At 47.4% G+C, this 12,806-nt stretch overlaps 1 long non-coding RNA gene across 1 annotated transcript in view; it reads left to right on the forward strand.

Annotated features, from left to right (window-relative positions):
- Positions 1–1,316: 1,316 nt before the first annotated feature.
- LOC158435 (uncharacterized) overlaps positions 1,317–12,806 on the forward strand; it is a 36,074-nt gene continuing 24,584 nt past the window's right edge. The window contains exon 1 of the long non-coding RNA NR_033838.1: positions 1,317–1,346. This is a non-coding gene — a long non-coding RNA (uncharacterized LOC158435). The remainder of the gene's footprint in view (positions 1,347–12,806) is intronic.

The following is a 12,806-nucleotide window of genomic DNA, read 5'->3' on the forward strand; positions in this document are numbered from 1 at the left end:
TCAAAGCAAGCCACATGTCATGCCCTAATTTAAGAGGAAGGAAAACAGATTCCACCTCCTGATGGAAGTCGTGGCACAGTCACATCACACGAGATCATGGGCTAAATTGATGCAGCCATCTTTGGAAGTGGTTGGAGTAGCAACACAGGTGTGAAGTCCTCCTGACCACTCCTGGCTTTATGGGGAAGACCTTGCAGGAGAGGCCTACATTCCTCTCTGGACAAAGGCCTTCTTTGTAGGAAGAAAAAAAAAAAGGAAAAAAGGACTCTGACATCTTTGGTTTGGGGCTCAGAATGGAGTTTCTGCCTCTAACTAGTTACAACTATCTAGGTTGCAAGTGACAGAAACCCCATTCAAACTAGCTTCAGCCAAAAGGAGAAACATTACTGTGATCGTGGATCCCAGTGGCAGGAAGGCAGCAGCCTTGGGCACTATAGGAAGCAGAGGCTCCATGCCCCAGGACTCTCCTTGCCTCTGCTTCCTGTTTCTCTGGAGCCCTGGCTTCCTTCTCTCTGGCTGTGGAGTGCATTCCTCCCTGTGGTGACAAATACAGCTCCCAACAGCTCCAGATTTTACAACTATTGGCGAGAAATAGACCCTGTCTCCTGTGTAGTTTCAAATTCAAATATATTGGGGAAAGAATTCACTAACAATGAGTTCAGGGCTTGTCTGTAGAGCAGTGAACTATGGGCAGGGGCAGGGCCAGGCGATACTATCAAAGCTGCCATGGAGCCATGTTGGTGGAGCGTGGCAGGGCATCTCGAGGGAAGGTGTGAGCAGGCAAATCCATGGGCATCCACTCAACAACCTCAGAGTGGACAGGCGGGAGTGGCTAGAGGGACAAAGCCCAGGGGCAGGCTGCCTGTGCTGGGGTCTCCATTTCACCACTCGTTAGCTGAGTGTCATTACTAAATCCTCTGTGCCTCCATTTCCTCATCTCTGAAATGGGCATAAGAGTTCTTATACAGTTTGGAGGATAACAATGCATTCATAGTTCATATATGTGTTACAGTTTTGATATGTGTCCCCTCCAAAACTCCTTTTTAATTGAATCCCCAGTGTGGTAGCATTGAGAGGTGATTGGGTCACAAGCGCTCTGCCCTCATGAATGGGTTAATTCATTCGTGGATGAATGATGAATGGATTACTGGGTTAATGGACTGATGGGTTATTAGGGAGTGGAATGGGTGGCTTTATAAGAAGAGGAAGAGAGACCTGAGCTGGTGCTCTCAGCCCCCTCATCATGGGATGCCTTGCACCACCCTGGGGCCCTGCAGAGTCCCTGCCAGCAAGAGGGCCCTCACCAGATGCACCCCCTAGACTTGGACTTCCCAGCCTCCAGAAATGTAAGAAGTAAATTCCTTTTCTTTATAAATTACCCAGTTTCAGGTATTCTACTACAAGCAATAGAAAACAGACTTAAAATAATATGCGAATGAAGTCTTCTCAAAGAATGCTTGAGTCCATAGCGTGTGCTCACAATGTGTTAATTGTTAGTAATAAGAGGAACAGAGTTGATTCTACTGATTACATTGATATGCTATGATGCAATATATAGAAGTCCAGAAAAGTCTTTTCTTGTTTCCTGGAACCGAAATGATTAATTTGGGGGAAAATGTATATTAAGGGTCTTTTGTCTACCTCAGAACTGCTCCCCGGGCTTTCACAGGGGAGGTGTTCCCGGACCTCTTTTATGCACGGATGCACTTGGGGGGACTGCCCCATGCCAGCCACTGCTCTGCAGATGCCATGAGGAATGGGGGCCGACTCCCTGCAATTGAGTGCTGGGGCATATGCCGGGTTTCACATGTAAATGTGCTTTTCTAGGAAAGTAAAGTTTTCTCAGGCCTAAGGTTGTGTCAAACACAGCAATTTAAAAAAATGTCACAGGAGATGGCCTGAACTAGATTTTGGGCTGCACACCACAGGAAACCTTCACTTCTGGTCTATTCAAATAGTTATTTTCTTCAATTTTCCAAAATTCCCTCAACTTCTGCCACCAACCGTCCACCCAAAATTAATCTCCTTTATTCTGCTGTGGGTCAAAGGAAGGGAAGGAAGATTTCCTGAGTGATTCTTTGGGCAAATGCCATAGACCTAACTCTGCACTCAGGTGCGACTCGTACATACTTTGTCTCCATTTCTCTTCTCCATTTCCAAAATGAACTTTCCTGGAATCATCTTGGTGAAGAACAGCCTTTATCTCTGGAGAAGGCGCTCCCAGAACACCTCCCATGTTTTACTATCCTCACCGGGCCACCAAGGCCTCCGAGGGCCAAGTCCAGGGCTCCCAAAGTAAGCAGGACCCACAGACCCCCATGCCCCCTTTGGGGACAGCTGAGGGGGGCTGGGTGTCCCTTTAGGAAAATATTTGAACACAGCCGGTGCCCTCCTTCCTGCCACCCATGTGGTTGTGTTTTTAAATATGGCTTGAACTTGAAGCAGTTTCCATTTATAAAAATTCCTTTGCAAAATGTTCTTTCCAATAACAATATTCCCATGTGTGCCTTTGCTTCTGATATTTTTCTTATAAATTAATCTGCTAAAACAGAGTCCTCTTGGCCTTTGGCTTTTGGTGTCCGCAAATGATCCCGCCCCCACCCTGCGGTTTTGGGACCTCCTGCTTTGGCTCTGGGACCCAGAAAGTTTAGACCGCCTTCTTTTCATTCCTGGGAGCTTATCTTACAGGGTTTCCACAGTCTGTGCAGTGCTGAGGGCCAGATGTGCGGCAGCGGCCTCCACACAGCCTCCAAGGCTGCTGGCCCCAAGCAAGCCCAGGCAGGTGGCCTCCAGGGGCACCGCACATGCCCCTCCTGCTCCTTCCCACCACCTTCCACCTCTGGGAAAAGAAAAGACAGGCTGCCTTCTTACTTTGTGTCCTCAAATACCAATGACCCCTGCTGCCAGGGTTCCCGATTTGGGCTCAACATAGGCGTCACATTTCAAAATCCCTGAGCCAGGCTCCACCCATGCCCATCAGAGGGGACTCCATAAAGGAAGGACCCCAACAGGAGGGTTTTTGGAAGCTCTCCGTGACTCCGATGTGCCGCTGAAGTTGAGAACTTGTCCTGGAGGACACCCCCAGCACCCCAGCCAGCATGCCCAGGAACTTGCCAATAGCTGATCAGCCCAGTAGGGATTTGATCACGGGACTGGGCTTCTCCCCCTGGCAGAGGGCTTCTCTCTGCCACATGAGGATTTAGTCAAGTGCGGTGGCTTTGTAACTGGAACTGTATAATATTACTCACTTCCAAACGGTGGCAGGCTTAGAGAGATGACCCAGTGACCATTACGAAATGCCTGCAATCACTGCTGTGACATCTAGAACCACAAACCAATTTATGTTTGATTTTGTCAATATTGCATTTTTCTAGTACGAAGAAAAAATGAGGCACAAACAAATTTAAATACATATACATAGATACACATATGTGTGTACAATATATATGTATACATGCATGAATGTGAGTAAATATATAAATTTCAATATATACACACAATATGTAAATACTTATATACATATATATATATATATATATATATGTATATCTGTACACACACACATCTAGAAATGATTCCAGAAGGACATGGGCTTGGGTTCGAATTTTGGAAAGGAAGACTGATACTTTAATACTCCTTTCCAGAAGCAACAAGGGTCTTTAGTGGGAATGCTGGGGGTTTTATAGAAAGAAAAATCATAGTGAGATGGGCTTAATCAAAAAAAATCTTCTGCAGCCAGGCACAGTGGCTCACACCTGTAATCACAACACTTTGGGAGGCTGAGGCAGGAGGATTGCTTGAGCTCAGGAGTGCAAGACCAATCTGCCTGGGCAACATGGCAAAACCCCATCTCTACAAAAAATACAAAAATTAGCCAGGTGTGGTGGGACATACCTGTAGTCCCAGCTACTTGGGGGGCTGAGGTGGGAGGATCCCTTGAGCCCAGGAGGTCAAGGCTGCAATGAGCTGAGGTCGTGCCACTGCACTCCAACCTGGGCGACACAACGAGACCCGGTTTCAAACAAAACACGAAGCCTCTTTGAACTTGACAGACGGTGTAATGTTAAGCATGGAAATTCATTTTGAAACATGAGGAGTGTGGCAGGCCCCCCTGAAGGACTCCTGGTCTAGGGGCCCTGAGATCTGGCACGCTCCTCGATGGCAGGGCCTTCGTGTTCCTCTGGCTCGCTTGTCTGGCAACCACCCAGCATCTGACCAGTGCTCCTGCGATATTTGCTAGAAACAAATAAATGAAACCCAATACTTTTGAATTTCCATAACAACATTTATCAACTAGGTTTCAAGTTTAGAGGTACATTTCAAAATATTATTAGTGTTAAGCCCCCTCTCCCCTCCCCACTCACATACACACCTTCCCACGGTTCCTTCAACCCATTTAACTGGCTGTTTCCTCCCTGATTCCTTTTTTTCTAAAGAGCTATCCTGACAAAATCACTGAAACACCTTGATCTATAATGGCAAAAACAATTTGAAAAGACAGTGAGAATAAAGAACCTTTTACTGGGTTCTGATATGAAGGGGTGTGACAGTAGTTTTTCTGAGGTATGAGCCTCTCCATAAAAGAGTTGTCCAACTGGCTACTTCCTACCTATAAATGGGCATTTCAGGGAGACAGGGAAGCTGTACACACACACACATTTATGGAGGAAAGATATTTTAAATATGTTTCAACCAATAATAATGTAAAAATACCCAGGAGACTTGTGATGTGGAGCCAGAAGGAGTCTATGAGGTGAGGTTATGTCTGCCCCAGTCCCCTTTGAAGCACTTAGAAATGTGACGAATATAGAAAAAAACCAATAATCCAAAAAGGTGGGAAAGGGGTAGGGAAGTCTTTACCCTCCATGACTTGGGCAAGCTCTGTGTTTTGAAGGAAAAGCAAAGTGTGAGTCTAAGTAAGAAACATTTTAGCACTTTAAGGCAGGGGAGGTTTGCAGTGCTAGAGAGAGCCGAAATTCTTTTGAATCATAACATTTCACAGCACTACGAGAACACCCAAGATTTTGCATACTAGGTTAACTAAGCCAATTATACTTCGTTACATTGTAATAAAAAGTCTTTATCTCTTGAGAAAACTCAAGCGATTTCTTGTTGAGTGCTGTGTAGGTCTGATGGAAACCCTTCAGCTTCCTGTCTGAATTGGGACTGAAAGGCTGGCAATCAGAATTGAAGAGACCTGATTTTCTGGGCAGAAATGTATGGGTTTTTAAATGCCCTGTCCGCCTCTACAGATCTGCTTATGTCATCCACAACTTGCAAATAAGACATGCTCAGCAGTTTACAAATGGGTTGTGTGCAACTTAGGAAGCATGCTCGGTTCTGTATGCTTGAGCCCTGACCTACGCGACGTATTCTATGCTTCCACATCACTGAACTCACCATTCTGCTAGCTGGCTCTGTCTGCCATGCCTTGGTGCATTTGCCCATGTGGTGACCTCTCCCTGGAATTGCCTTCCTCTACTTCTCCACTGAACAAATACTCAGTCTTCTTTCAAAACCTGGTGTCACCTCTACTCTGAAGCCTTGCCTGATCCCACGAATAGATGTCCTTGTCCTGCTCACAGAGCATGTAAGCGCACTTACGTGTTATTATGTATCTTTCCACATGTCTTCCTGATCAACAGGCTGTGAAACCCTTCAGGGCAGGGATTATGCTTCATTCTTCTCTGTATGTCTGGAGCCTGGACCAGCACCTCTTGGGTTGTTGTTCTAGGAGTAATCAAGCAGGAAAGTTCCAGCAAAAAGAAATTCCAGTAAATGAAGGAAAAAGACATGGAACCCAGGAAATAGTGCCTACAACCCATGAGAGTGGTAACAGCAAGTCCAGGAATAACAGCTGTGCTGCGGACCCTGATATCAGCCATAGGCGAGGAGGCCTTTGTGAGGAAGAAAGGGAGAATACCTGATATGATGGAGACTGCAGAGACAGGAGGGCAGAGAGGCTGAAGCTGTGATGATGGCAGATAGTACAAAAACAAAGCCTATTCACAACTCTAGGAAAAACAAACTTTATAAGAAAAGAAATGATTTATTTCATGGAGCTAGCGTAAACAATACCCACATAGTCATAAAAATAGAAATTTTGAGGGCCAGGCACGGTGGCTCATGCCTGTAATCCCAGCTTTGGGAGGCCAAGGCAGGCAAATCACGAGGTCAGGAGTTCAAGACCAACCTGGCCAACATGGTGAAACCGTATCTCTACTAAAAATACAAAAAATTAGCTGCATGCAGTGGCAGGTGCCTGTAATCCCAGCTACTTGGGAGGCTGAGGCAGGAGAATCACTTGAACCCAGGAGGTGGAGGTTGCGGTGAGCTGAGATCATGACAGAGTGGGACTCCATCTCAAAAATACATATATATATAGAAATTTTGATTCTTAATTTAACGACAATAGTGATATATCTGTATCAGGACAGAGGTGGCAAGGACATAGGTAACTAAGTTAGGGCCAACAAAGTCTGCACCAAAGTTGTTGGTAGGACTTATGAACATGCTCCCTAAAAGGTCAAAAAACACTTGAGATATCCCCCTTTTCCTTTCTCCTGCCTCTTTCTTGCCAGATGTGGGGACTTCAGGGTTGCTACGGCGGATCCATAATCATTTGGGTCCAATTTCCTTCCATCTTTCTGCTCCTCACGTATGGATTCTCTTATGTGAGAGAGAAACAAATCTTTATCTTGTTTAAGCAACTTTTGCTGGCTCTCTGTGCTGGCAGCTGAACATAATTTCTATCTAATATAAGACATGGAGCTTATTATTTAGAGATATGGAGCTAACCATCCAAAGAAACACAGGCCTCTCAGCTGTGCTAGACAACTTGGGGCATGTACAGGTTGGAGGGTCTGTGGGAGGCAGAGGCACACTGTTGATGCATGTGCACCCCATGCTGAGGGGTGACCAGTGACCAGGCTGAGAAAGCCAGGCTGAGTCAAGGAGTGCCTCCTCCCAGCAGCAGCTTTGCCTAATTCCTAATAGGATGCATGTGTCTGGCCATCGATTTAAACAGCAGTTTGGATTATGGAATGATTGTTTCGGCAAACTAGGCTGGACACTGCTGATTGAACCCCAGAGCTGACACTCTTCTATCTCCTCACTCCCCTCCCCTCTCCTGCTTACATTCTCTGCTGAGTGCTCAGCCTTTTGCAGTTCCCACTATCCCCTGCAGGGACACTGTGAATGGTTGTTCAAGTCATGCACTGAACTAGTCATTCATGTGATTATTTTTTTTACTTAAGAGAGGGATTCCTTTTTCTAAATCACAGAAAGCCCCTGTATGGACTGGGATCCCCCTTTCTCCCATTGCCCTTAAATAAAATCCAAAATGGCCTGCCCCCACCGACCTCACTAAGCCCATGGTGACCTCCCCTTGTGCACATCACCCTAGTCATAAGGCACTTCTCTTCCTTTCTCACATGTATCAGACCTCTTTCAGTCTTGGGGCCCTTATGTTTGTTCTTCTCTCTGGAATGTTGTCCTCTAGATTTCCATTAATCGGGTTTCTGCTCAATATCATGTCTCCACCAAACCCTCCCAGACGGCTCCACCCAGTGTTGCCTTTTCTGTAACCATCCTGTTACACCGTTTTATTTTCCTGATAACACTTATGGCCATCTGACATTTGCTTGTTTCTTTACTTGTTTGATACTTGCCTTCCTCGTTAGTGTGTAGGCTCCATGAGGACAGGCTGTGTCTGGGACAGGTTGGACTCCCAAGGAAGCAGACTGTCGGAGACAAGGATGGAGATTTACCAGGGTGTACTCTCAGGAACCCCATCTTGGGAAGGGAAGAGAAGGGAAGGGAATAGGACTGGGCAGGAGGGAAAGCACATCACAGCCAGCTCACCAGAAACATCAGCCAGCCCTGCAGAGAGTTCTGAAGGTGGGCTATCCCTGCAGGGAGTTCTGAGGGTGGGCTATCCCTGCAGGGAGTTCTGAGGGTGGGCTATCCCTGCGGCCTTGTCCCAGGTCAGCACACACACCGCTGGGCTTTGTGCTCCTCATTGGTCCTTCACTGGTGCTGGGCTGCTCTCTAAATGCGCTGTGATCTTGAGGGAAGCAGCTCCCTGTGGCTCAGGCAGTCCGCAAAAAGGCTGACAGCTGAGGACTCCCTGCTAGCAACGTCCTCAGCAGTGTCCTTCCTTCAGGGTGACCTGGGGGGCACATCAGAGCATCCAGCATGTCTATCTTGCCCATCACTACACCTCAAGTGTCCACAACATCCTTGGTCCATAGGAGGTGCCCAGTAAGCTTTTGATAGATGACTAAGGGACATACAGGCCTTGGTGGCTTGAGGGTCACCCGTCTCCTTCAAGCACGCATTGCATATGACTGCTCCACACCACTGTGTTTCAATCTTATATTTTAATCCCTGAAGGACGTGTTACTTCCTAAATTTTGGTGCAGATTATCAGACAGGGGACAGATCACTGTCCCAATTGCCTTACCACCAAAACAGAGAGCCTGAGAGAGGCAGACATCTGATCAGCCCCCAGCCCACTCCCTGGGCACTCTCTCTGCCCATGCTGGGGGCTGCTGGCCCCCACAGCTCTGCCGCGCCCTGACTGTGGGACTGCCCCCACAGAACGCAAAGCAACGGTGCCTCTCTTTAGGGGTCCCCGTGGCAAGTCTTCACTAAACTGTGGCAGCCTCTCAATCTGACGCCTCTACCTCCTGAAGAATATTCTGTTGTCACACAGCCCTTCATTCAGCACAGATGACTCGCCCCAGAACACAATACAGGCCTCCTTCACCGAGGACAGCTTCTTTAGGCAGATTTTAACATTTGTGCAATGAAGATTAATTTTACGTTGAAAACTGTAGAGTGTTAAGCTTGAGAATTTGAAATATATCTTATTGAGACGAGAGGGCTAGAAACTGTCCCAGGGTCATGAGGGCAGAGCATCCTTTTTAGGGCGAGCTCTCTACAAGCACCAGGTCGCCACAGCAGCTCCTCTGCGGCTATGCATTCGCCATTCTTCCCTGTGTCAGCCGTGGTGCTGTTGACAAAGTTTCTTTTCCCATATCTTCCAGAACTTGATAGGCTTGACCTTCTCCACGCCTTTGAAATCATCGCACATGTGATTTGTTCTTGCAGTGAAATGTGAGTGGGAAAGACGTGCACCATTTCCTGGAGGAAGCTTTGAGGACCAGTGCGTGCTTTGAAAACCAGAACTGCCAGTTCTTGTCCTGCTTTTTCAATGGTGATAACATATCTCAAGTTGGCATGCCCTCAGCTGGGCCTCTGAGTAACTGGGAGGCTGACGTGCAAGGGAGCAAAAAGCAAACCTTGGCTGTTTAACCACAGATGTGCAGGATTTATCTGTTACTAAAGCATTACCTAGACTGTCCTGACCAAGCAGTACCCTCCCTCCTCTCTCCTTCCCTCTATCTCCTACTGTTTTTCTCCCTCCCTCCCCTCTCACTTCTTTTTCACTCTAATCACCTTGGTAAATCCAGATTGACCCTTGGATGCTGCTTTCAAAGTGCCTCACACATGTTTTGTGGCCTCTTCCAGTTATCCTCCTATCTCTTCCCAGCCACCCCTGGGATTGTCTTTGCCACCCTGAGAGATCTCAAGTTTCCGCAGCTTGTCTGCATCCTCCAAGTGTTCACACCTCGGCTCCTCTGGCCCTGGCTTCCCAAGCCCCTCTCTCGGTGCCCACCTCTCACGCCAATCCTGCTTCTGGACATAGCCCAAAGGGAAGAGGCAGCTCACTGGAGCAACTTCCCAGCCATTCCCTGTCCGATCTCACACTTCCCCTCCCTTCCCCTCATTAATCTCAGAGGAATATATTGTCCTAAAGGCAGATAAAAAGAGAGCTGTCTTGCTTTAAAAGTCATGCTTATGACTAGACAATTTCTTTTTCCAGTTTCCTGCCCTATTCTTGACTTCAATGCATGGCTCTAACTTATCATTATTATTATTATTATTATTTTTTTTTTTTTTGAGATGGAGTCTTGCACTGTTGCCCGGGTTGGAGTGCAGTGGCACGATCTCAGCTCACTGCAACCTCCACCTCCCAGGTTCAAGTGATTTTTCTGCCTCAGCCTCCAGAGTAGCTGGGATTACAGGCACCCACCACCACGGGCCTGGCTAATTTTTTTGTATTTTTAGTAGAGACGGGTTTCACAATGTTGACCAGGCTGATCTTGATCTTTTAGTAGAGATGGGGTTTCACCATGTTGGCCAGGATGGTCTCGATCTCTTGACCTCGTGAGCCACCCACCTTGGCTTCCCAAAGTGTTGGGATTACAGGTGTGAGCCACCACGCCCAGCCCCAATTTTCTGTAAAATATGATTCAAAGCTCACTTTATTTAGGAGCCGTTTCAGGACCGCATGAATCCACTCACTCCACCAGGGTGGCCTCGAGTGGAGCTGTTCAAGGGACTGTGTTACTGCGGTCTTGGTGGTGAGCTCCTTTGTCAGTGCGTTCTTTGGATCTCTATGCTGCCTTTTCAGACTAGATTTTGCTTAGGAATAGCAAAAAGTGCTCAGGGTTGACATACAAGGGGATAAATTAATCTTTCACTGAGAAATATTAAAATAGCTTACTTTAAAGCAATAAAGAAGCCATTTAATTGGAACCTTCTCGGAGACCAAATCTCCTGTGTCTTCAGGAGGCTGCCACACTGGTAGATCTGTACATCCTCAGCATCCAAATAAGGACTTTAAACTAGGTCAGGAGACGTATTTTCTGAGGCAAAACTTTCCATTATTTTCAGCGAGTTCCTTTCACAGAAACCAGTTTGACACGGTGGTTTCATTTTGCAAGCTGGTTGATGTTGGATGATATTACTCATCTGTTTATCCATTTGTTTTTAAAAAGCACTCAATAAACACGGGAACATGGCACTCTGTCTAATGTGAAGTATGCAAGGGGAAATAGAAGCTGTGATGCCTGCTTCTGTGGAACTGTTGTTTGTGTTTGTTTGTTTGTTTGTTTGTTTCTGAGAGGGAGTCGCTCTGTCGCCAGGCTGGAGTACAATGACACGATCTCAGCTCACTGCAACCTCTGCCTCCCAGGTTCAAGCTATTCTCCTGTCTCAGCCTCCTGAGTAGCTGGGATTATAGGCGCGTGTCACTGCACCCAGCTAATTTTTGTATTTTTAGTAGAGATGGGGTTTCGCTGTGTTGGCCAGGCTGGCCTCGAACTCCTGACCTCAGGTGATCCACCCACCTCGGCCTCCCAAAGTGCTGGGATTACAGGTGTGAGCCAATGCCCCCAGCTGCTTCTGTGAAACTTGATGTTTAATTATTTAAACAAGAGGAGGAGGGAAAAGGAAAGGCAGCTTCCAGGGGCAGCTACTCTGAGACCAGGCAGGACTGGACATTGAATTTCACCACATTCACATTTGGCTTCTTAGTTCTTTAAGCTATCAGAGCAGCAGTCAAGACGCAAAGCCAGTGGCGGGCACCTGCTTACTCAACTATGTACACAGTGGAAAATTGTGAGGAAAAGCTGCACGTTTCCTTCCCGTTGCCTTTTCCACTGCATTTTACTCTAGCTAACACCATTCATAGCTTCCATGGATTGAAGATCCTAGACACAAACTGGGGCAACTGCCTGGTCTACCAGGATTTCCTTAACCCTCTGTGTGGGCGGCAAGCCACCCAGGTGCCAAGGCAAGAGACCGAGGGCACGAGCTGTTCCAGTATAATAAAATATATAAAACAACAAGAGTTATACTAGATCTCGAGCATAGACATGATTATATATGAATATCATTAATCATTAGTTTGTAGCAATTACTCTTTATTCCAATATTATAATAATCCTCACTCTATAATCATAACCTAGGAAAAACCAGGCCATACAGAGATAGGAGCTGAGGGGACACAGTGAGAAGTGACCAGAAGACAAGAGTGCGAGCCTTCTGTTATGCCCAGACAGGGCCACCAGAAGGGCTCCTTGGTCTAGCGGTGACACCAGCATCTGGGAAGATGCCGTTGCCAGGCGGACCGTGGTCTAGCGGTAGCAAAAAGTGTCAAGGAACAACACCCGCTACTTAGCAGACCGGGAAAGGGAGTCTCCCTTTCCCCGGGGGAGTTTAGAGAAGACTCTGCTCCTCCACCTTTTGTGGAGGGCCTGACATTAGTCAGGCTTGCCCGCAGTTATCCCGAGGCCTAACCGTCTCCCTGTGATGCTGTGCTTCAGTGGTCACGCTCCTAGTCCGCCTTCATGTTCCATCCTGTACACCTGGCTCTGCCTTCTAGATAGCAGTAGTAAATTAGTGAAAGTACTAAAAGTCTCTGATATGCAGAAATAATGGCGTAAGCTGTCTTTCTCTTTGTCTCCTCTCTCTCTCTGCCTCGGCTGCCAGGCAGGGAAGGGCCCCCTGTCCAGTGGACACGTGACCCACGTGACCTTACCTATCATTGGAGATGACTCACACTCTACCCTGCCCCTTTTGCTTTGTATCCAATAAATAACAGCGCAGCCAGACATTCGGGGCCACTACCGGTCTCCATGCATTGGTGGTAGCGGTCCCCCGGGCCCAGCTGTCTTTTCTTTTATCTCTGTCTTGTGTCTTTATTTCTACACTCTCTCGTCGCCGCACAGGGGGAGAGAGCCACCGACCCTGTGGGGCTGGTCCCTGCACCTCTGTCTCTATTTGAAAGGTTGGCATGTGACCCAGCCAAAGGTAGTCATGGTACATCCCGTCTCTGGCCACAGCGAGGGGCAGAGAGGTGAGCACACATTTCAGATGGGGCTCCTCAAAGACCTCGGGGTCTGCTGAATGAAGAGACGTCCATTCCTCTCTACCTGTGAAGCTGTTGAGACAGG

This window comes from Homo sapiens, chromosome 9 (assembly GCF_000001405.40).
Source record: "Homo sapiens chromosome 9, GRCh38.p14 Primary Assembly".
NCBI classification, from domain to species: Eukaryota; Metazoa; Chordata; class Mammalia; order Primates; family Hominidae; genus Homo; species Homo sapiens.